The 24,466-nt window shown below is 39.5% G+C and overlaps 1 protein-coding gene across 28 annotated transcripts in view; it reads right to left on the reverse strand.

Moving 5' to 3' along the window:
* COL4A4 (collagen type IV alpha 4 chain) overlaps positions 1-24,466 on the reverse strand; it is a 197,129-nt gene that overhangs the window by 125,073 nt on the left and 47,590 nt on the right. For 27 of the 28 annotated variants that reach the window (XR_922837.3, XR_001738602.2, XR_007069255.1 and 24 more), the window contains exons 8-20: positions 22,196-22,264; positions 19,246-19,281; positions 16,792-16,854; positions 16,401-16,436; positions 16,149-16,190; positions 11,540-11,620; positions 10,712-10,765; positions 10,357-10,416; positions 9,433-9,477; positions 9,072-9,125; positions 7,188-7,257; positions 6,262-6,366; positions 1,693-1,857 (exon numbers count right to left, since the gene is read on the reverse strand). Coding sequence is in view for 25 of the 28 variants with exons in the window: in XM_011510565.3 (XP_011508867.1) it covers positions 1,693-1,857; positions 6,262-6,366; positions 7,188-7,257; positions 9,072-9,125; positions 9,433-9,477; positions 10,357-10,416; positions 10,712-10,765; positions 11,540-11,620; positions 16,149-16,190; positions 16,401-16,436; positions 16,792-16,854; positions 19,246-19,281; positions 22,196-22,264 (880 nt within the window). In the remaining 3 variants the exon portion in view is untranslated. The remainder of the gene's footprint in view (positions 1-1,692; positions 1,858-6,261; positions 6,367-7,187; positions 7,258-9,071; positions 9,126-9,432; positions 9,478-10,356; positions 10,417-10,711; positions 10,766-11,539; positions 11,621-16,148; positions 16,191-16,400; positions 16,437-16,791; positions 16,855-19,245; positions 19,282-22,195; positions 22,265-24,466) is intronic. The other variant, XM_005246282.4, reaches the window with a different exon arrangement.

The raw sequence follows: 24,466 nt of genomic DNA on the forward strand, positions 1-24,466 counted from the left end.
AAAGGAAGATCTCAAGACAGTATTCTGGCAACAAATTAAAAAATGCAACCTGACCTAATCTGAACAACTCAAAAAGCTGCAGGAGAGATTTATTCAAAGAGCTAATACTAATAGAATAGTTAATGAGTTAGAGTGTATAATGATGAAATTTAGATAATTCTGGGCAGTTTGAGGTTAAATTATAAGTATATTGAAAACCAAGCAAACAGACAAAGGAAACAAGACAATTGACAAGATGTTCTGGAAAAGCAATAATTTATACTTTATATGGCTCAGCTGGTGAATGGCCCTTATATAACCAACTATTCAGTGTAAACTCTGAATATTTATGGAAGCAAAATTATGACAATAATTGTATTGTAGTTTGTGGGAGTAGAAAATGTGCACATGTCGGGTGAGGGGTTGGTGAAAGAAAGCTAAATTCATCTTCCGTAAAGGAAAGTCAAAAGATAATGCTGAATTGGAAAAATTGAGAAATAGCAATACAAGTACATTGAATGTCAGTATAGAGGCAAATAACAAAATATCCAGCCACATGTGTTGAAATGATTGCCCTTGGAGAGGAAGGATTAGGAGAAGGAGTTGTGGGGGATTTGAGTTATCCATACCATGCCTTGTAGAACAGTTTGACTCTTAAACCTGAAAGTGCCCTTGCAAAAATTCTCACAGTGAAAAAATTGTGACAGTGAAGGAGATATGACCTAAATAACTTCACCTTGTCTTTAGCCTCTAAACTGCCCTTGGCCATTTCTGAGCGTGGGCCAAGCTAACTTTGAAAGAATTTACTTATAGTTTAAATAATAATAGCCCTCCCCAAAACTAAACTACCTTCATAATGCTAATAAAAAGCCACCAGGTAAACAAAACAAAACAAAACAAAACAAAACAAGAAGGGCCTGTATTCTGCTAAGATGTAGGTATACTTAAATGATTAGCAGCATTATTATTCCAGAGGTCACAAGATTTGCAATCTCCCCAATTACTCCTATAAATGATATCACTATTATAAAACCTAAGATTGGCCTTTTGAGATGTCTTTTCAGACTTTGGCGTTTCTGATGACTGGATGGCTCCACCTAGACCCAAGACTCATGACTCAAGGGTCCCGTGGCACCCACCCAGAAGTGGATTCAACACGTTAGGACCATTTTCCACACCCCCATGATCTCATCCCCAGCCCCCTGCCTGCCAAACTATCTTTAAAAAACCCTAGCCTCCAAATTTTCAGAGAGGCTTTTTTATTTTTATTTTTATTTCATTTATTATTTTAGTAATAATAAAACTCCAGTCTTCCATTTAGCCAGCTCTATGTATGTTAAACGCTTTCTCTATTGCAATTCCCCTGTCTCGACAAATCGGCTCTCCCTGGGCAGTGGGCAAAATAAACCCACCGGGCAGTCACAAACCAAGCCCATATATAACTCTGATGAAAATTAAAACTACATTTAAAAAAAATTGGTATTATTTTACCAAGTTCTATCATTTACACTGAAACTCCTAACCAAATGATTGCACATACTTTAATGGATGTGAAAGTCCAACTTCAGTTTATTTGTTTGTAAAAGACAACCAACTTAGCTCATGAAACATCATATAACTTTTAAAATATTTTAAAAACTATGCTTTCTTAGTGGCACTGCAAATATCAAAAGCAGCATAAATGCTAATGGATATGAATAAGGAGTACTTTACCACTTGATCCTGGGAGGCCCTGCAGGCCTGGTGCTCCAGGCAAGCCAGGTGATCCTGGCTTCCCTGGTTTTCCTGGAGCAGAATCAGGTCTCCCAGGAATACCAGCTTCTCCTGGAAGCCCAGGAAGACCAGGAAATCCTTGTGGCCCAGGGGGTCCTATCATGCCTGCAAGATAAATCAAGAATGAAAATTACATATACTCTCAGAGTAAACGTCTCTGTAGAAGAAATCAAGATTGGTACACACTTGCTTAGGTTATCGAATTTTTTAAAGGGAAAGAGACGGAGCTGGAGGTCATTATGCTAAGTGAAATAAGCCAGACACAGAAAGAAATACTGCATGATCTCACTTATATGTGGAATCTGAAATAGTCAAACTCATAAAAGCAGAGAGTAGGATGGTGGTTCCCAGGGGCTGGGGGAAGAGAGGAATGGAGTGATGTTGGTCAAAGGGTACAAAGTCTTAGTCATGCAAGATAAATAAGTTCCAGAGATCTACTGTACAGCGTGAAAATGATAGTTAACAATACTATATCTTATATTTGAATTTTGCTAAGAGGCTAGATCTAAAATAAATCTTCTCACCACCCCCCACAAATGATAACTATGTAGACGTGACAAATAGGTTAATTAGCTGGAATGTGGTGATCATTGTACAATGTATACATATATCAGAACATCAAGCTGTGTATCTTAAATATAAACAATTTTTATATGTCAGTGATATCTCCACAAAGCTATTTCCTAATGCTCTAGATGACAGCTTTCAGAAGTAGAAAAAAAATAAGTGATGTATAAAGTTTGCTTTTCCACAGAACAGATTACTAGCCGTAAAGCAGGAGTTATAATAATTTGAATAAACTGCATTAAAAGAAAAAACATAGCTCAAAAATAAAGACAATATCCCAGCCATTAAAATGTCTTGCCTCCTTTGAAATAAGCACACAGTGGAAAGAAATGGGTTTAGAGAATCAGATTTTCTTACCTTTTCCCCATTCTTTAGGATTATTGGGGAAGAAACATATTTGATTTAATTAAATGATTAGTTTTTCAATCTTTCTACCTTGATAACTTGGTAAAAATAATCCAAATAAACATATTAGCATACTTAGTGGGTAAAAATATAGACTCACGTAATCATCTAGGTAGAACATAAAATATTGTACCTATCACAGCAGCCCAGGTTGATGGGGAAGGATGGAGGTACCAGATTTCAACTTGGCCTTTCCCTCTGTAGCAGGGGACCTTAAGCAGTTTATTTAACTTATTGAGCATTCTGTATATATACCTCCAGAGGCTTGTTATGAGGATTAAATAAAATAATCCATGTAAGAAGCTTAGTGTAACATCCAGCAAGAGCACATGCTCAGTGAATGTTCAGTGTGTTCAGATGAGGTCAAAACGAATAATGCAACAGCAGGAAATCCTGCTTCCCCTTGACATCCTGCTCCCCTTGCTGCTGTCTTTGGCTTAAAGATAGCTGAAAGCTGGCCAGGCCCGGTGGCTCACACCCGTAATCCCAATACTTTGGGAGGCCGAGGCAGGCAGATCACCTGAGGTCAGGAGTTTGAGACTAGCCTGGCCAAAATGGTGAAACCCCATCTCTACTAAAAATACAAAAATTACCTGGGCATGGTGGCAGGTGCCTGTAATGCCAGCTATTTGGGAGGCTGAGGCAGGAGAATCGCTTGAACCTGAGAGGCGGAGGTTGCAGTGAGCCAAGATCGTGTCATTGCACTCTTGCACTCTAGCCTAGGCAACAAGAGCGAAGCTCCATCTCAAAAAGAAACAAAAAAAAAGATAGCCGGAAGCCTCTGTGAGAGTGACCACCTCTCACAGCTTTTTTCCTAAGCGTGTCTGGCTCCAGATCCTCTCTGTGGAAGACTGCATTTTTGACAGATGGCCATCACGGGAGCTCTGTCCTACATCCTCTTGTTGAACTTTGACATTTCTCTATCAAAAGGTGGGTGTGTTGCCTCCCTCTGAATGAGGCCATTAGAAAAGATGATTCAGCTTCTGCCTTGTGAGCCAAAACACTTGAGACTGAAATTCTGAGCTACCATATAAGCAATGATAAGAAGCTACCATATTGTAAGGAAGCCTTAGTACAGAGCCCACCCAGGGAGGCTCCTGAGGCTACACAAGAGAAATCAGAGAGGTGTCCAGGCAGGCCCAGCCCTTCCTGAACTCTTAAACTGCAGAAAGAGTGAGAGGTACTGTACTGATTGCTATTGTTTCAAACCACTAGGTTTTAGGAAATTTTTTCCGCAAGAGATAACTGAAACCCTGTCAGTAATCAGTAATGTAGCATGTTTATTAAATTAATGGCTGTCATTATTGTGTCCATATGTGCCGGGCTTCAGTAGACATACAAACATATTCACTCCTCGAACAATCCTGCAAAGTTTATACCTTACAGATAAGGCACACAAAGTTTAGGCCAAATATCTGTAGTAATAATAGCTAATATATTGAATCTTTACTATACACTAGACTGCAGTCTAAAGGCTGTATACATATTATTTCTTTCAACCCCAAGGTCTTGTTTTACAGATAAGAAAACTGATGTACAGAGAGGTTTAATAAATGTCCAAGATCACACAGCTTGCAAGTAGGAGAAATTGGAACTTTTCTAGTTCATAGTGCAAATGCATTAAGTATTTCACTGTACCACATTATACTATATGGCTTTCACTAAATGCTAAGGTGGGATTTGATTACAAGTGTCTGACTCTGAAACTGTGCTTATCTCATGGTAAATACTGTAGATAATTACCAAATTATCTACAAGATATTCTATACGTTGTATATATAGTAAATACCATAGATATTAACAATAATATCTATCATATCTACAAATTATATATACAAGTATATAATAGGACTAGATACACTCCTGTGCTTAGAACAAAATGAAAATGAGCTCCTGTGGATTTGGCTGCCATCTTGTCTTCATGCCATTTCTAAGACCTGATGTGGACTCAATACAATCAGTCATTGGATGAACCTGGGTGCTGCCTGCTGCCTTGTCCCATTGCCAAGAAGAATGCTTAACCACCTGCCAACAGGGAGAATGGGCTACAGTGTGTGGCATCTTGCAGTATTGTCCACCCAACTGTAGAGCATGAAGTCAATAGAGTAAGTTGTGACAGCATTAAATTTTTTTTATTATAAAAGAAATGAATGGGATAGAAGAGTGTGTCACATACCGAAAATGTATACTTCTGTGTATTTTTGTCTGAATCACCTGTACATATGGATACATACATGTTTGTGTAATATAAATGTATATGTTTTTCATATAAATGTAAAATCAAATGCATTTCTTACTATGGGTCATAGTCAAGATTTGAAAGCTATTGGGTTAATTTATTTTTTAAAACCTTGTGAATTAAGAGGTTTCCTGGGTTTGAATCCACTAGAGACACTTGTTACTTACTATTAGATCTTCATTTTAATATGCTGGAGACACTATTCTATTACAAACAAGCCTGATTGGAGAATTCTAAGACCAGAGTCCAGTGCTTTCTGACCAACGGAATACTCTATATTATTTATATACTCCTGGGTCAGTTAGGCCAAGGCTGTGCTATCTAAAGGTTAAGTGAACTAGACAAAGCTTTTCCACCTTTGTGGTTATTGAATCCTGCAAACTGAAAGCTAGATTCATGGAAGATTAAACAAGAGTTTTGTAGTTAGCAGTTGAATATCTCAGAAAATTTCTCACTTCTTCTCAGTAAATATAACAAGAGACACAGGCTGGGTAAAACTACGTTTACTCAAGACTTTTCTCCTCACAGGTTTAATCAGTTCTCCTGGGTTCACAGACTGCAAATACCCTCTAAACTTCAATTCCTAATCTTACTAGGAATATTAACCAGCGCAGCACCTGAAGGAGTTCAAAGTCCTTATGCCAACAGGACTCTTTCCCAGGCTTTTTACCAAATGCCACTGTGGCCCATCATTTTCTTATTTTTGTTTTTGACGCGAGGGAAGAAGACTTTTTTAAAGTAATTATGAATGAAAGTTTTTTTAATCATAATTTTTACTTCCACCTTTCATGCAGGAGATTTAAGCAAGGGATTAGGTGAATGTACTAAATTTTACAAGTAGATGTCAACAGGGAGAGCCTTCCAGCAGGGTGGGAAAACATGGGGAAACACTAATCCTAGCAGTGGTTTCCAAGCCTTATCTGCATGCGATAACTTTGTGGGAGGCCTGTTGTTATACATACATATTCCTTACAACACCCCTATGATATTGATTGAATGTTCTGGGGTGCAGCTGAGAAACCTGTATTCCTCCCAAGTAAGTGATTAATTGGTTTGAGTTCAGTGGTTCTTAACCTTGGCTATATGTTACAGACACAGGAGCGCTTCTACAGTATCAGATCCCCAGGCCCATCTCCCAAGAGTCTAACATTCTTGGTCTGGGGTGTGCACAGGCATCGGTATTATTTTACACAATCCTAAGGTGATTCCAATATCAGCTACAGTTGAAAGCTACTGGTGCTGATGATGATGCAGGAAATCTGACCTGTAAAAGCCAGGGCACATCAGGGCATCCGTACCTGCACAGGCTTCCCCTGGTCTGCCCAAGAGACCTGGGGGACCAGGTGGTCCAACATCCCCTGTTTCTCCATAGCGGCCAGGGAACCCTGGGTCCCCTGGTGGGCCTGCCAAAGATAATGGTACATGAGAATAAACAAATGGTATGTGCATTTTAAAATTAAGACAACAATTACTTTTTGTGAGACTCAGTAAAGTATAATTAGGAGACATTTTTGCAGTTTCTCATTACATTTAAAACGAAATATCTTAAATGTGAACCGCCTTGGCTGTGCCTCTTCCTCAGACACGTGAACTTTGAATGGGGTTCTTTGTCACTGATTTAGGCTACTCCTTTTGGTGGCAGCATCTTGATAGGTGTTAGTCAAATAGTTCTGTTTTTGTTTTTGTTTTTGTTTTCAGACGGAGTCTCCCTCTGTCGCCCAGGCAGGAGTGCATGATCTCAGCTCACTGCAACCTCCACCTCCCAGGTTCAAGCGATTCTCGTGCCTCAGCCTCCCACGTAGCTGGGATTACAAGCATGTGCCACCACACCCAGCTAATTTTTGTATTATTAGTAGAGATGGGATTTCACCATGTTGGCCAGGCTGGTCTCGAACTCCTGACCTCAAGTGATCTGCCTGCCTCAGCCTTCCAAAGTACTAGAGTTACAGGCGTGAGCCACTGAACCCAGCCAGTAAAATAGTTTCATACAATTTTTAGCGATTAAAAATAGACTTTCTGAAAGATAACAATAAAAATCCCAGCATACAGTATATGTACTGAAAAAAACCTCATGCACATGTATAATTATACACTCATGCTACAGTTCGTGCATTCAGCCTGCCTAGTGTGCAAGCTATGGAAATACTGGGCCAGACTCTTCTGTCCTGGCCACTCAACTCCTATTTCTGCATAATTTATGGAGGAACTGAATAGGAACACAAACCTTTGAGTGGAAGAGGTGGAGTCACCAAAACACCTGGTGGTCCTGGGTGCCCTCGATTTCCAGGATCCCCCTGAAATCATTCATTCATTCACTTTTTAAAGGAATATTAATTTTACTCATGTTGCCTGGCATTAAACCAGTATTAGAACGATCATGTGCACATTCATATAAGAAGCAGAGATTATAGGCTGACTAGAGAAATGAAGCATCCATGGAGTCTTAGGAGCAGCAAAGATGCATCTAATCTCTTATCTACAAGTAGTGGAAGTAAATAGCAAGTCACAAAGCTTCTACAAAGGAAAAGAAATTTAACTCCAGTGAAATTATTCTATGCCTATAAATTGGATACCTCTGATGTCACCAAGTTTCTTAGATATACCATGAGCATTAATGTCTAACTTGGCATCGATGACAAATAGTTTATTCACCTAACAAGGTCCGAATCTACATTTTATTTTAGCAACAAATAGCGTCCCTCTAAATTGTGTTCCTTTAATGCCACCATGGCTTTAAGGGAACACAATTCCCTTGCACATGCTGAGCAAGTGCCAGATGAGGTCACAAAAGTTAAAAAGGAAAGAAAAAATGCAGTGGTGTTAAAAGCAGAAAACTCTCTAAGATGCCCTCTGTTTCTAATCTCAATGAGCCTATGAATTTTTTTAAACTCTCATGATTATTCACCTTCAAAAGGATCACTTCTCAAATGTAGAACATAATAATGCTTAATATGACACTGATATGATAATATGATAATCATGCATAATAACACACAGCATGCATTAAAGTACTATACAGTCAGCACTCTTATAAAAAATATTTTAAAAAAAATAACAATCCAATGATAAAAATAATAAAACAATAGAATATGACAACTGTTTACATAGCATTTACATTGTATTAGAGATTATAAGTAACCTAGAGATGATTTAAAATATAAGATATGGCGTGTGTAAGTATTATGCAAATACTACATCATTTTACATCAGGGACTTGAGCATCTGAGGGTTTTGGTAGCCTAGGGGTTCTGAAACTAATCTCCCACAGATAACAAGGGACAACTGATATGGTTTGGCTGTGCCCCCAGCTAAATCTCATCTTGAATGGTAACTCCTACAATTCCCACCTGTTGTGGAAGGAACCCAGTGGGAGGTGATTGAATTATGGGGGGTGGGTCTTTCCTGCGCTATTCTTTTTTTTTTTTTTGAGATGGAGTCTCACTCTGTTGCCCAGGATGGAGTGCAGTGGTGTGATCTCAGCTCACTGCAAGCTCCACCTCCCAGGTTCATGCCATTCTCCTGCCTCAGCCTCCCAAGTAGCTGGGACTACAGGCGCCCACCACCACGCCTGGCTAATTTTGTTTTTGTATTTTTAGTAGAGACGGGGTTTCACTGTGTTAGCCAGGATGGTCTCGATCTCCTGACCTCATGATCTGCCCGCCTCGGCCTCCCAAAGTGCTGGGATTACAGGCTTGAGCCACCACGCCCAGCCTTTCCTGTGCTATTCTTGTGATAGTGAATGAGTCTCACAAGATAATGGTTTTAAAAAATAGGAGTTTCCCTGTACAAACTCTCTCTTTGCCTGCTGCCATCCATGTAAGACGTGACTTGCTCCTTCTTGCCTTCTGCCATGATTGTGAGGCCTCCCCAGCCACGTGGAACTGTAAGTCCATTTAACCTCTTTCTTTTGTAAATTGTCCAGTCTTGGATATGTCTTTATCAGCAACATGAAAAACAGACTAATGTAACAATTGAATAAAAAATTAACTGTATCTCTTCTAAAAATTACATTCTTGAATGATTCCTGGCAATACTTCTAAAAATAAATTAGATAATATTAAGGATATAAACTTTTATCAGGATATATTAAAATAGGCTCACTTTTTACCTTTGGGCCAATTAATCCAAATAGCCCAGGATCTCCAACCAGTCCTAGTTCTCCCTACAAACAAGCACAAACATGCCTTAAAAAAAAAAAGTGACTGGGTGACAAATTATCTCATTCTCATTTAATTTAAGCAACACATTGCCCACTGAGACCATGCAAAGTCTTAACACTGTTCATCAGTTGCATCAGACAATCTTGTGCTTCAATTTTTGCACCCACAGCTAAATCCTGCAATCCATAAAATGAATGTGTCTGCCTTCCTAATTACTGTGTTTGCACGCAACAGTACAACTTCTGAATTATACTAAATTGCATTTACTAATGAAATGTATTTATTATCTCTATAATGAGGTACATTTACCTTTAATCCTGGAAAACCTGGAGATCCATAGGAACCAGGATCCCCCTAATAAATTCACAAAAATCAGGATAAACAGAATTAAATCAGAATGCATTAACCAGCTCAGTGCATCATTTTTCACCTTATCAAATTGTTCCATGGATATTTGGTCCTGTTTGCAAAGCTAGCTGAATAAAAGGAAATAAATATAAAATAGATTCCATTTCTTTATAACATTTGCTACTTGAAGTGATCCTCAGTCTTATTCAAAAAATCCATGTCATTGCCAGTGTTTTAATTAAGAATGTATTTTTGTTGTCGTTGCTTTTCCAAATTTAATTTACTTAACTTAGTGCTTGCACTGGGCCAAATATCTTTAAAATCTCTGCAATATAATTTGCCTGGAAATTAATAGTTGCTCTGTGCATCATTAGCAATAAAAATGACCATGGAAACCAATATTTCCCCATTCAGTACTAAATCTAGAACCAAATAAACTCAATGCCCATGCCAGCTGCGGTCTGGCCTCCATGGTGACTCTATGAGTGGGCTTTCTATTAGTGACATGTGGTGATGTTTGGAGCTTAATATTGTACTTTTTTTCTAGCTCCTGCCCCTATATCACCATGTTGTTTCCTCAAATAGACTTAAATTAACTATTCCAAGCTACTTTCCTACTGGCACTGAGGTGCCAGACAAGAGATGGCACAATCCTGTCACTTTTCCCAAATTCTTCTATCTTTTGCTTGCCTGTTTTATCTAAATGATGTCAATGGAAGGATGCTCTGGGATATTTAGATATTCCATAATTCTCGTCCAAAATGTTTTGTTCTTACATGAGCTATTCTTCACTTTTGAGCTTGTGGGACTACTGACCTGGTTTTATAAAAACATGAAAGAGAAATATCTCCAAATTCACTGATGTTAACAGCAAATGATGCTTACCCGAGGCCCTGGAAATCCAGGAATACCTTTTTCTCCTTTTGCCCCAATACCAGATTCTCCCTTTAAGAGATGACAACATTTAGAGGGGTTCAAGCAACAATATTTCAGCAATAGGGAAAGCAATATTTCAGCAATAGGGAAAAAAAACAAAATGAGAAACAAAAATTATTGTCAGCAGCTTAAAGAAAACAACTACTTTAGAATAGAAGCTCTATAGTATTATGATAAGATAGTGAAAAATTCTGGTAATATATATTAGCACTTAAAGCAATGATAAAGACCATGAGAAATAACATTTTAAGTTAAGATAGTACATCACACAAATGAAAAAAAAAAAGGTACTTAAATAAACTACCTTGCGTCCTGGTGGTCCTGGCAGTCCAACCATTCCAGGAATTCCTTTTATACCCTAAAAATTACAATGAATATAATTTGGTCTATTCTTATTATTTAACATACTGAATTCCATCTCCTTCAGAAATCATCTCTTTTTACAATCTGTTTCACCTTAAAAAAAAAAATCTTAAGAGATTACTCTTCACCTGTTCTAATTAGCACACTTATAAACCAGATACTATTTGAGCCAGTTCTCTATGTGAGAGGTATATGGGATACCACAGTGGACCACGGAACCAGGCAGCAGATACAATTTGGGAATGCAGCCATTGAAAAAGTGGCTTATTTTGAGCAAAGTAAAGAAATTTAACCCAGCAATTGAAAAGCAACAATAGAATCTTCATGTGGCACCAATAATACCAGCACTGGTAGCTGACAGAGGAATTAATATTTGCCAAGAATCTATTACGGCCCAGTTCTATGCATTTGTTACCTTCTCAATTATCAAGACATCAAACTCATCTGTAACATCTAAAGGACAACTGGGCTTCCGGTGGTCTTTTCAATCCACACGTCAAAACAACATTAACAAGCACATGTCATAATTTAGCAGCCTGAGCTAGGTCTGCCACTCAGCAGCTGGGTAAACTTGAGAACACTGGGAACCTTCCAAGCCTCATTTTCAATGCCGCACGATGGGGCCAACAGTAGTACCAACTTATTAAAGTAGGTTTGAAACTAGTGCAGTGATGCATAGAAAGACCTCTATACTTTGCTGCCACAGATCCATGTCAAAAAATATTTTCTACTGCTACTTTCCAAGGTGACATATGGATTTGGGAATTACCTTTTCTCCTTTATAGAGACAAAAGTCAGGTGGCTCTACCAACAGGGTGGGTCCAGGAGAACCTTGCTGACCAACCTCACCCTTAAAAAAAAAAGCAAGATAATGAAAATTTCATATTAATTTATGTTTTGAAGGTTTTCACCCATGTATTGTGGTATAATGCTTCCAATCCTATGTGTCATGGATTTAAAATACAAGTTGTGGCAAGTACATCATAGAATATAAAAGGATATTTATTTTCTTATAAAAATTTAATACACACTTATTGTTAAAAATAAATTTAAAAAATGAAAATGATTCTTAATGCTACTATCCAGGGCCAGGCGCGGTGGCTCACGCCTGTAATCCGAGCACTTTGGGAGGCCGAGGTGGGTGGATCACGAGGTCAGGAGATCGAGACCATCCTGGCTAACACGGTGAAACCCCGTCTCTACTAAAAATACAAAAAAAAAAAAAAAAAATTAGCCGGGCGTGGTGGCAGGCGCCTGTAGTCCCAGCTACTTGGGAGGCTGAGGCAGGAGAATGGCATGAACCTGGGAGGTGGAGCTTGCAGTGAGCAGAGATTGTGCCACTGCACTCCAGCCTGGGCGACAGAGCGAGACTCCATCTCAATAAATAAATAAATAAATAAAAAATCCTACTATCCAGAAGTAATCTCTATTAAAACTTTTTTTTTTTTTTTTTTTGAGATGGAGTTTCACTCTTGTTGCCCAGGCCAGAGTGCAATGACGCGATCTCGGCTCACAGCAACCTCCGCCTCCCGGGTTCAAGCCATTCTCCTGCCTCAGCCTCCAGAGTAGCTGGGATTACAGGCATGCGCCACCATGCCCGGCTAATTTTGTATTTTTAGTAGAGACGGGGGTTTCTCCATGTTGGTCAGGCTGGTCTCGAACTCCGGACCTCAGGTGATCCGCCCGCCTCGGCCTCCCAAAGTGCTGGGATTACAAGCGTGAGCCACCGCACCCGGCCTATTAAAACTTTGATATAATTTTTGGTGGTGTGTGTACATATGTGTATATATGTACATATATGTGTATATAGGTGAATAAACAATTTGTTTTATGTTTATGAAAATATAATCAGAATACTATAATAAATATATAAACATGATTTAAAATATACAGCATATTTTATTAAATTTTTAAATAATTTTATATTTTTCTTACAATATTTTGTGAGCCTTTTTCTATTATACTAAAATCTCTTCAGGATCCTGATTTTTTTTTTTTTTTTTTTTTGAGACAGAGTGTTCTCTGTCACTCAGGCTGGGGCACAATGGCGCAATCTCAGCTGACTGCAACCTCTGCCTCCCGGGCTCAAGTGATTCTTGTGCCTCAGCCTCCTGAGTACCTGGGATTACAGATAATGCACCATCGTGCCCAGCTAATTTTTGTATTTTCAGTAGAGATGGGATTTCGCCATGTTGGCCAGGCTGGTCTCAAACTCCTGGCCTCACGTAACAATCCTGATTTTTAGTGCCAATAAATAATCTATCACAAGAATGTACTGTGATGTATTAAGCCATCTCACTCTGGTTAGATTAGATTATTTCTATTTATTTTCAATAATATTTTAAAACTGTAAAATAATAGCCAAAATTTTTATTTATGCCATGATAGATGTTTTTCTACTGAAGAAAAGAATGTTTCTTGAATGAATTTTGCCACAATCATAAATTCTCACCATTAATTAGAAAATAAATATTTTGTGCTTTTCTGGGTATTACTATTATTCTACACTTAGTATGATCTTTCTTTTTGTCATAGTTAAGAACAGGCTATACATAGGTCACCCATGTTTGCAAACCAGGCCCTTACTGGCTCTGTCACTTGGGGCAAGTTCCTTAAAACCTCTCTCAGTCCTCATTTCCTTACTTCCTTGAAACCTCATTTTTCTTCTCTGTGAAATGGAGATTGTAATATTACCTACCTCAAACTATTCTTCCATTGAATAGATAATATACATAAAATGCTTCCCGTATTGAGGGTAACAAAGTAAATTCCCCAATATATCATTACTAAAACTACTAATGCTTTTGATAGGTGGAATTTTTAGAAGAATATCAAGTTTAAATAGAAAAAAAAAAAAGAGTTCAATTTCTACCTAAACCTGGGAAATTGAAGAAAAGCCAGATTAGAAACATTGTCTGTTTTGTTTTTTTTTCCTTGATTTATCTACACACCTAACACAGTGTTGGTGTAGCACCTGCCCTAAAGATATCTGCTGTGTGAATAAACCATTGAACAAGCACATTAACAAAACATGAGTAAAAGCATAGCATGTATTGGTAAAGATAGCCACTCTTATTCTTGTAATTGAGATAAACCTGAACAAAACCCTTAAAAGCTGACAAGCAGCCGGCTTCTTCAAAATATTGGTCATACTGCTATTTTTTTCATATTGTAAAAGTACCATATACTCAGCATAGTCAAAAGTACAAAGAAGGAAAACTATGAAGAATTAAAATGTAAAAGGTCCATAATTATATCATGTAGGCATAAATAGCAACCATTTAGGGCAGTGTTTCTTAAAATGAGGTGGGCAAACATGCTCTAGAACATCTGAGAATTCTGCATCAATATTTTATCTTATTTTATTTATTTATATTTTTTGAGACGTAGTCTCACTCTGTCACCCAGGCTGGAGTGAAATGGCACAATCTTGGCTCACTGCAACTGCCACCTCCCAGGTTCAAGCAATTCTCCTGCCTCAGCCTCCCAAGTAGCTGGGACTACAGGCACACGCCACCATGCCCGGCTAATTTTTGTATTTTTAGCAGAGACGGGGTTTCGCCATGTTCGCCAGGCTGGTCTCGAACTCCTGACCTGAGGTGATCCACCCACCTCGGCCTCCCAAAGTACTGGGATTACAGGCGTGAGCCACTGGGCCTGGCCCAAAATTGTAAAATTATGTGTTCATTCACCTGACAATCTAAAAGAATTAAGGTAAGCACATTTGAGATCATTTGAATGGCCACCTCATAGCCAAATACTTCCAAGTTATTCCACAGCCTGAGTTTGCAAATGTGTCTGATTGGACTGGCGCGGAAAGTCACTAAGATGCCAATGCTTGCTGGATTCTGCAATGGCACACGGGCTCCTGTGGCTTCGACGAACATATTCCAGAGCTCCATGGCTTCCCAAACTTGAAAAACATTGTTTTGGTATATTTTCATTCAGTCATTTCTACAAGCCAGAGATCTCAAGGTTGGGGGAAGGGGAAAGTAGTTAGGCAACCCCTTCCCACAGGGACATTTGGCAATGTTTTGATACATTTTAAGTTGTCACAATTGGAGGGACGGGATGCTACTGACATCTAGTGGGGAGAGGCCAGGGATGTGGCTAAACATCCTGTAATTCACAGGACAGCCTCCACAACAATGAAATAGCAGCAGCCTGAGGTTGAGAAATCCCTCTCTGTGTATATTTTAATGTCTTTCTTGTTGCTGTTGCTTTTACAAAGTTGAGTTTATATTTTTGTAACCTGTACTTTCTGTTCAGCATTATATCACAGGCACTTCCCCACATCATGAAGTTGTTATATATATTTTTGACTCCTGTGCCGTTCTGTTAAATGACTGTACCATGACTTACTCAATCACGCTGGAACTCCATGAGAGCAGGGATCAGGTCTGTCTTGCTAAATCCCCACACCCAGTGTCAGTCCTAGCTTGGCATGGAGCAGATGCTTAATATTGACTTGCCCTCAGTTGTTGAAAGAGCCACTCACCTACTGCTGGATGTTCAGATTGTTTCCAGGTGAGTTGCCTTCTTAAATCACTTTTCTTTTTTTTTTTTTTTTTTTTGAGACAGAGTCTTGCTTTGTCACCAGGCTGGAGTGCAGTGGCACAATCTTGGCTCACTGCAAGCTCCACCTCCCAGGTTCAAGCAATTCTCCTGCTTCAGCCTCCCGAGTACCTGGGACTACAGGCACGCACCACCACGCCCAGCTAATTTTTGTATTTTTAGTAGAGACGGGGTTTCACCATGTTGGCCAGGATGGTCTCAGTCTCTTGACCTCATGATCCACCCGCCTCAGCCTCCCAAAGTGCTGGAATTACAGGCATCAGCCATCGTGCTCAGCCCTTAAATCACTTTTCTAAAGCTTATTCTTACTAAGTTTTACATGTCGGCCAAAAGGACAGTGGGTGTGAGTGGCAGGGGGAGGAGACGGGGAGGACAGGCATAGAAAAGGAGTGGGTTGGAGATTGTGTATTGCTCAGTGCTCTTGGTTCCAGTCATTTATATTTGTATTTATATGCATATTTAAGGGTGGAGTTTAGGATTTATGTGAAATTAAGCAAAACAAATCCGTGATTTGACAAAGCTGTTACTCTGGACATAATATATTGTCAAAAATGTTCAATCTGTTTGCTAGGGTGAAATGTGTTGCACAAATTAACCCGAAAGTAGTGTTAAATTGTGTCAGATCTTTCATTTTACAGTCAAGGGTAATGGTGCCATAATAATTCGGCAAAGAAAAGTTCTCAGCCATAAAATTGGGCAGTGACTAGATAATGAGTACAAGTTCAAATAATCAGAACAGCCTCCACCCCTGAGCAGCACACACACGTCACCATCTGCTCCTCAGAGCAAGAGGGAATTCTTACCGGGTCTCCCATTTGCCCCTTTACTCCCACACCGGGATTTCCCTGAGAAAGAAATGAAAAAGAATCTAATTGCTTTTGAATTTTAAAAAAGTAATTAAAAGCAATTAAGACTTCTGGCTACACAATATATTGCAGTTCATGGAATACTTTGGGAAGTCTGATAAGAGGAAAGCCATCATTCTGACAAATATCAGTGGTCAACCATTTCATTGTTCAGGGCTCTATTGATGTATCTTGCTCATGACTGCCTACCTTCAAACCTGGACGCCCTGGTTGGCCCGGAGGTCCCTAAATCAAGGGAGAAAAAAACACAAATCAATCATCAGACATAGAAATCAGAATGTGCCTTCTTTTGTTACCCCAAAATAGGGTCCTATTTAGGAAACCCTTAATTTTAAAACATGCAGTGATGGAGTTTCTATCATGGATGGGCTGTTTTCTGTGAAGATGATGTCAGTGGCTCATCCGCAGGGACCTGTGCTTCAAGATGGAGTCCCACTGATAATGGTGGGTTTTCACTGATTCATCGATTATAATCTCTCAAACGGCCCACCTGTGTCTGACCCAAAATGGCAATGTTGCTTCTTTATTTTCATGTAGAATCTGGTTTTTAAAGGGATCACATCAGCAGTGCTGTACTTACCACTAACCCTGGCTCTCCAGGATATCCTGTGGGACCTGCCGGTCCTCCTGCACCCCAAGATCCCTAAACATGAGAAAAATCAGTGCATCTGTTACCCAAAATTGTAATCATCTTTCACAGAAAGAGTTGCGTGTGATCCCATGTGGATAAAAACCTCTAAAGAAATCACAGCCACCAGCACATCTGCCCTGCTAGGACATTTTCAACAGCAGCTTTGATGCAGCCCTAAAAGGGCACCAAGCAGTCCGGGCACGGTGGTTCACACCTGTAATCCCAGCACTTTGAAAGGCCAAGTGGGGCAGATCACGAGGTCAGGAGATCGAGACCATCCTGGCCAACATGGTGAAACCCCGTCTCTACTAAAAATACAAAAATTAGATGGGCGTGGTGGCAGGCGCCTGTAGTCCCAGCTACTCGGGAGGCTGAGACAGGAGAATCGCTTGAACCAGGGAATCGGAGATTGCAGTGAGCCGAGATTGTGCCACTGCACTCCAGCCTGGCGAAAGAGCAAGACTCTGTCTCAAAAAAAAAAAAAAAGCACCAAGCTAAAGGTAGCAGCACTCTGGTAGTTGTGATAAATTCCTTCATTTAGGGTCCAGTTAAGACCCAGAGATCAATCTACCTATTTACAAATACATCCTGTAATAACAAAAGTGGAGAGCAAAGAAAATGCATTACTACCTACTCCTAAATTCTGTTACAATTTTGATATACATCAGGATGCTTTTAAAGTATTATTATTAATTAACATTATATATTAATGTATTTATACTTTTTAGTATGTTTTTAAAACATGGTCTGCAAGATCTCAAATTGCGGAAATATAGTCCCTAATTTGAGATCAAGATGAGTCAGCCATACAAAATTTTCTACAACATGTAAGTTGTAACACAACTATACACAAATTGTCAAGGAAAGGTTACAGCCAGGCTAGCCTGGAAGTGTGGAGAGATGTTCCCCGGGCTCCTGCTGACTCTGCCCAGGTCAAATGATTGGGGAGTGTATAATGAAATTACTCTGTTTAGGAGGATGAACTGATATTTATTTTAACAGCAACATTGAGGTATCACATTTATTACATGGACCTGAGCTTCAATCGTAGTAAGGAAACCAGCCCAGGAAAGTCGTTCCATCACTAGCCAGAAGTTACAGGGCAAAATTATAGCTTAACTTTTGGAAGGCAAAATGGAGTCTCTGTCGCCCAGGCTGGAGTGCAGTGGTGAGATCTTGGCTCACTGCATCTTCTGCCTCCTGAGTTTTAGCAGTTCTCTGCCTCAGCCTCCCAAGTAGCTGGGATTACAGCCACGCACCACCACGTCTGGCTAATTTTTGTATTTTTAGTAGAGACGGGGTTTCACCATCTTGGCTAGGCTGGTCTTGAACTCCTGACCTCGTGATCCACCCGCCTCAGCCTCCCAAAGTGCTGGGATTACAGGTGTGAGCCACCTCACCCAGTCTTTTTTTTTTTTTTTTTTTTGAGATGGAGTTTCAGTCTTGTTGCCCAGGCTGGAGTGCAATGGTGCCATCTCAGCTTACTGCAAGCTCTGCCTTCCGGGTTCGAGTGATTCCCTGGCTTAGCCTCCTGAGTAGCTGGGATTGTAGGTACGCGCCACCACGCCTGGCTAATTTCGTATTTTTAGTAGATAGGGGCTTTCACCATGTTGGCCAGGCTGGTCTCAAACTCCTGACCTCGTGATCCACCTGCCTTGGCCTCCCAAAGTGCTGGGATTACAGGCATGAGCCACCACGCCTGGCCGGCAAAACTGCTCTCAATTTTAGTCTTGTAAACATCGAAAAACTGGAAAGACTAATATAATCATTGAATTGCTGGTCTGGGCGGCCCTCGGTGCCCCTACAGAAAACAAAATTATAAGTGAAGCATTTTTGCAAAAATATCATAACACAAAGATTATGCACTATGAATACTCAAATTGTGGCATTTGTGATTCACACATTTACTGTTTAGTTTTGTGAAACTTTCTCACATCAGAAACATCAGAGAGATGAAGATGGGCAAAATATTAAATATAATATACAAATACTGATTCACCAGGCAAAATGGTAGCGAGAAGCAATGCAAGATTATTCTAGCTGGTATATATTATACATGTAGTTGCTAAGTGGACTCACTTTCCTAAATATTAAGTGGCTGCATATACCTGAGTAATGTCACGAGATCATTAGAAGACAGAAGAGGAAGGCAGGAGGGAGCTTGATGAGCTTCAAGTACAGCTTCATGGGCATGAGACTGGTGCAGTTACACAGGGCCCCATGCTTCATGTTCTGTGGTCGCCATCTTGAAATGCTTAATAATTTTTGAACAGGGAACCCACATTTTCATTTTGCACTAGGTGAGCCGCACAAATTATGTAGCTGGCTTTGCTGGGATTAAAACGTGGATCATAGGCTATTTGAGGAGGAAATAGAAGCATAGAGCCTGCTCAGGAGACTTACTGGTAAGCCAGGCAGTCCTGGGTCCCCTCTGTCTCCCTGCAAAAATAAGAATGCATTGCTTTAAGTCCACACAATGTTCCTAAAACAGAGATTATGTAAAAATAGAAATATACACAAAATTATCTGGACTCATCTAACTGCAGTTTGTTCAATTTTTTTGGTGTTGACTAAAATTGAGGAAGGGATATGCGGAGGTGATTTTCCTTCTCCTTAAGCTCTGAATTCTCCTTCTACCCAACAGAGAAAGGTCGCTGAAGTAATGACATGGAATCAAAATGAGATTTTTTCTTTGTTTAAATTGTTCTAAATTCTCAATCCAGTGGTCCCGTTTCCTCACAGTTTACCTGTTGCTGGTGTCTTTCCACACCTTGCTATGCTTTATAAACATCTTGACCCCCTTGACTACCCTAGAGTGGACAGAAAAGAAACTCAGGTGGAAATTGCCTCACACCAGCCTCTGTCTACTTCTATCGCCTTGTGACTCTGTGCTGAGACTCAACCTACTTTAAAAGATCAAAGGCTATATATTCTCTTGAATGAAGCCTCTTTTTTTAAAATGTAAAATATATGTAAGTTAAAATATGACATTTCAACCTTTTTTTTTTTTTGAGATGGAGTCTCGCTCTTGTCACCCAGGCTGGAGTGCAGTGGCGCCATCTCCCTTCACTGCAACCTCCACCTCCTGGATTCAAGCAATTCTCCTGCCTCAGCCTCCCAAATAGCTGGGATTACAGGCATGCGCCACCATGCCCAGCTAATTTTTTTGTATTTTTAGTAGACGGGGTTTCACCATGTTGGCCAGGCTGGTCTCGAACTCCTGACCTCAGGTAATCCACCCGCCTTGGCCTTCCAAAGTGCTGGGATTACAGGCGTGAGCCACCACGCCTGGCCCATTTCAACCATTTTTAAGTGTACAGGTAGTTCACTTAATGCCACTTAAGTGGCATTAAGTACATTCACATTGTTATTCACCCATGACCACCATCCATCTCCAAAACTCTTATGTCTCCTCCAGTGGAAACTCTGTTCTCATTAAACACTAACTCCCCATCCCTCTTCCCTGCAGCCACTGGCAACCACCCTTCTATTTTCCATCTGTATGAATTTGACTATTTTTCTATATAAGTGAAATCATATGATATTTGACTGGTTTATTTCACTTAGCATAATATTATATCTTCAAGGTTCATCCATGTTGTTGTATGTGTCAGAATATCTTTCCTTTTTAAAGCTTTTACAGTCTTCCTTTGGATGAATATACCACATTTTGTTTATCCATTCATCTGTTGATGGACACGATTACTTCCACCTTTTGGCTACTGTGAATAAAGCTGCTATGAACATGCATGTACAAATATCCATTCAAGTCCTTGCTTTCAGTTCTTTGGGGTATATATCCAGAAGTGGAATTGCTGGATCATATAGTAATTCTATGTTTAATTTACTGAGGAATTACCATATTATTTTCCACAGGGGTTGCACCATTGTCCATTCCCACCCGTAATGCATAAGGCTCCAACTCTCCATGTAGTTGCCAACAATTGCTAGATTTGTTTTTTTTATCATAGCCATTAGAATGAGTATAAAGTGGATATAGACTCTTAAGAGCATTGTCTCTCAAAGGTTATTGATCTACAGGTCATTTTTATTAGGGATCTTCTGTTTCCCCTTAAGATAAGGAATTCTCTATATTCATCCCCCTTCTATATTTGTATGTCACATGTCCTCTATTACCACAATTACAAAAAAATGCTCACTATAACTAATATGGGACATTACCATTTACAATGTGCTGCAATATAAATTATTATAACAGTCTTAACAACACTAAGAAAGGGGCAGGGTAAATATTATTTTAATCTTCTTTCACAAATAACGAACATGAGGCTGAGGAGGTTAAGGGAGTTGCTTAAAGTCACAGTGGAGAGTAAGCCTCAGTTCTCTCCTTCCAATACACCATCCTGGTTCCTAGAATGACCCTGCTGTTGACGTTTAGTTTATTAATATATCATTTAAGCTATAAACAAATCCATCGTTCTTGCTGTTTAAGAAGGACAAATAGGCACAGAGGCTACACACATAAACAGTGAGCTTACTAAAGGGATCACTGCTCAGGTGTGTCCATTCTGCGTGGCACAGAACCTAGGGTCTCATAGAAGCAATCTAGGACTAGTTCTATCTAATTGCTGCAGAATATTCTTCCTTAAGAGAAATGACCACACATCTTGAACATGGGCTGTATTTTCCTGTTAATGCATCATTTCCACTGATCCCCATCACTCATCCATGGCTTCTCATCTGAGAGATGAGGTGGTCACTCAAGAGTTTATTTCTGAACATTTGGACATCACTCCCTGCTGAAAACACAACACCATTAAATGTATCAAGCAAAGTGCTATAAGGTTTACATCATTTTCAAGTTCAATAATGGTGACTTTTACTGTACTGGATGGCAAGTACTAATATTACAATGTTTTAATTACAAATAAATCAGTGGTCCTCCACTGGGGTGATTTCCCCCCAGGGGACATTTGGTAATGTCTGGATATACGCTTTGGGGAGTTCAGAGGTGGGGGATGCTATTGGCGTCTAATGAGTAGAGGCCAGAGGCCAGGGATTCTGCTCAACATCCTATAATGCACAAGTCAGCCCCACACCAAATGAATATGTGGCCCACAATGTCAGGAGTTGAGAAACCTTGAAATAAATACATCCCTTGCAGTTCTGACTAGTTCAGAAGTAATGGAATTTTACAGTGCTGGAATTTTACTGGCGACTAAAGCCACTGCCTTCACACAAAAGCATGATGCCATCCCTGAGGGTCAGGGTAATGATAAAAATTGGTGTATTCAGGGACATTTTGAAGAAAAATCCTGTCTGAGTATTTCCTGCATGGGCTTACCTATTTGGAAGAAAAAATTTTTTAACCCATCATGATCATAATACTTACCTGAATACCTTTAACGGCACCTAAAATGAACACTGAATTTCCTTTTTCTCCCTTTTCCCCAGGATGGCCCTGAAAATAAAATATGTATGTACTTAACAGGAAAATAGCATATTACCATTTCAGTATTTTCTTTTCTATATAAAATATAACTCATCAGTTAAAATTACCATTATTGACATGATTAACAAGAAGACATTTCTGTATCCTCTTCCATATTATTATCACCCTAAGGTTCTCACATATATTTACTCCATATTCAGTTAAGATCTGTTAAGGAATCTTCTAAGACAGAATATCTACTCATATATAGCTATTTAGCAGAAAATTTTCATATTTCCTTACAATATAAAACACATGCATTGTTCCTACAAATAACTAATTTTGCAATTGTTAATTTATGCCCTAGAAACAGTAAAACGTATATATATATATAGAGAGAGAGATTTTATCCATTTCAGTACTTGTATTCAAAATAGGCCTAAGAATTATTTTTAAAAACATAACATGTTCCTTTCAGAAGGTTTTTGTATATAGTTGCTAGTTTGCTTAGGATATTTTTTAAAAGTGAATGAAATAACCTCAGTGTATTCTTCCCCTCCCCAAGGTTTTCCTACTTAATATCTTAATATCCTACTTTAATTCTTTTTTTTTTTTTTTTTTTGAGACAGAGTCTCGCTCTGTCTACCAGGCTGGAGTGCAGTGGCGCGATCTCTGCTCACTGCAAACTCTGCCTCCCGGGTTCCTGCCATTCTCCTGCCTCAGCCTCCCAAGTAGCTGGGACTACAGGCACCCACCACCGTGCCTGGCTAATTTTTTTGTATTTTTTAGTAGAGACGGGGTTTCACCATGTTAGCCAGGATGGTCTCAATCTCCTGACCTCGTGATCCACCCGCCTCGGCCTCCCAAAGTGCTGGGATTACAGGCATGAGCCACTGTGCCCGGCCCCTACTTCAATTCTTAATATATCTTCTCTTGGTTACCACATAAAAATCCTACCATCTTTATATATCAAGCTCATATGAAAGATATATACATTTCAAAGTTAATCTCTCTTAGAGGAGTGCTTGACTTGGCTTCTGATGGGAGATATTTAACAGCATAAGGTTAAATTGCATCAACAATTTACTTGAGAAATCAGGTTTGGTAGTATCTGCAGTTTTGGCTTTGCACAGTTCCAGTCTGAATGAATTTCAGTTTCATAGTTAAGTTAAATAACACCAGTTCTCCAACAACATGGTTCAAATTTCAGTCACCATTGTGTATTGAGTACTTGCATAACGTACAAACTTCATTGCTATCCTCTCAGCCCACAAATCGCTATATAAATAACAGATGTGAATTGTGATTACTGCATGATCACGTGATGTTACCAAAACATGTTGCAAAGAAAGTCAATGACTGAGAGGACGACTACTGCCAAGGAAGAAGGCTTTAATTAGGTGCTGCAGCTGAGGAGTTGGGAGATCAGTCTCAAATCCATCTCCTGGACTGACTAAAATTAGGGGTTCACATAGCAGGGAAGAAACGTAACAATGTATTGGAAAACAGGACCTAGGTAAGGAAACAAAATCAGGGGTCTGGCATCTCATTGTCTGGATGCCATGATCTGGTGTGTTTCAGTTCTTTGATACTTCTTGAGAGGCCTGGGGGTCCTCTCCTGAGGAAGGAACTCAGATAAAACACATAGGTTTCAAACTTTAAGATCAGAAGGATCCATTTCTATGTTGATCCAAAGAACATCTCTGGGACTAATGGGTCAGTTTCAATGATTTCTGTCAAAGTCTGTCTGTGATTGGCCCCTGCACACGTATTATTCAGAGCACACACACAGACACAGACAGCAAAGTTTGTAGCTGGCTTGCCTCCTTATCTCCCAGCAATAAACCCAAATAACATTTTACAAAAATGGATAGTTGGAAGAGGAAATCGGCCAATAATGATGAAAATGAAGCAAAGAAATGAAAATGGTAATGCTGGAAATGAAATTCAAATAAAACATAAGTGGAGTTATAGAAGCAATAGCTGATCATGGGAATAATGAGATTGTTGTCATTTGAGAGACTATTTGCAGCCAGAGGAACTTAGTAAAGAGAAACCAGGAAAGTGGTTGTGATGAAAAGGATGACAGCGTCCTAGGTAAAGTGACACAGATGAAAACTTCACATTAAAGGAACCCTGAGAGATATTTCACAACACTGGAAACAGATCCGAACTTAGGAGTATCATACTTCCTCAAAACATAAAAGACATATTCCTTTAGTATCACAAGTT

Source organism: Homo sapiens, chromosome 2 (genome assembly GCF_000001405.40).
Source record: "Homo sapiens chromosome 2, GRCh38.p14 Primary Assembly".
Taxonomy (NCBI): Eukaryota; Metazoa; Chordata; class Mammalia; order Primates; family Hominidae; genus Homo; species Homo sapiens.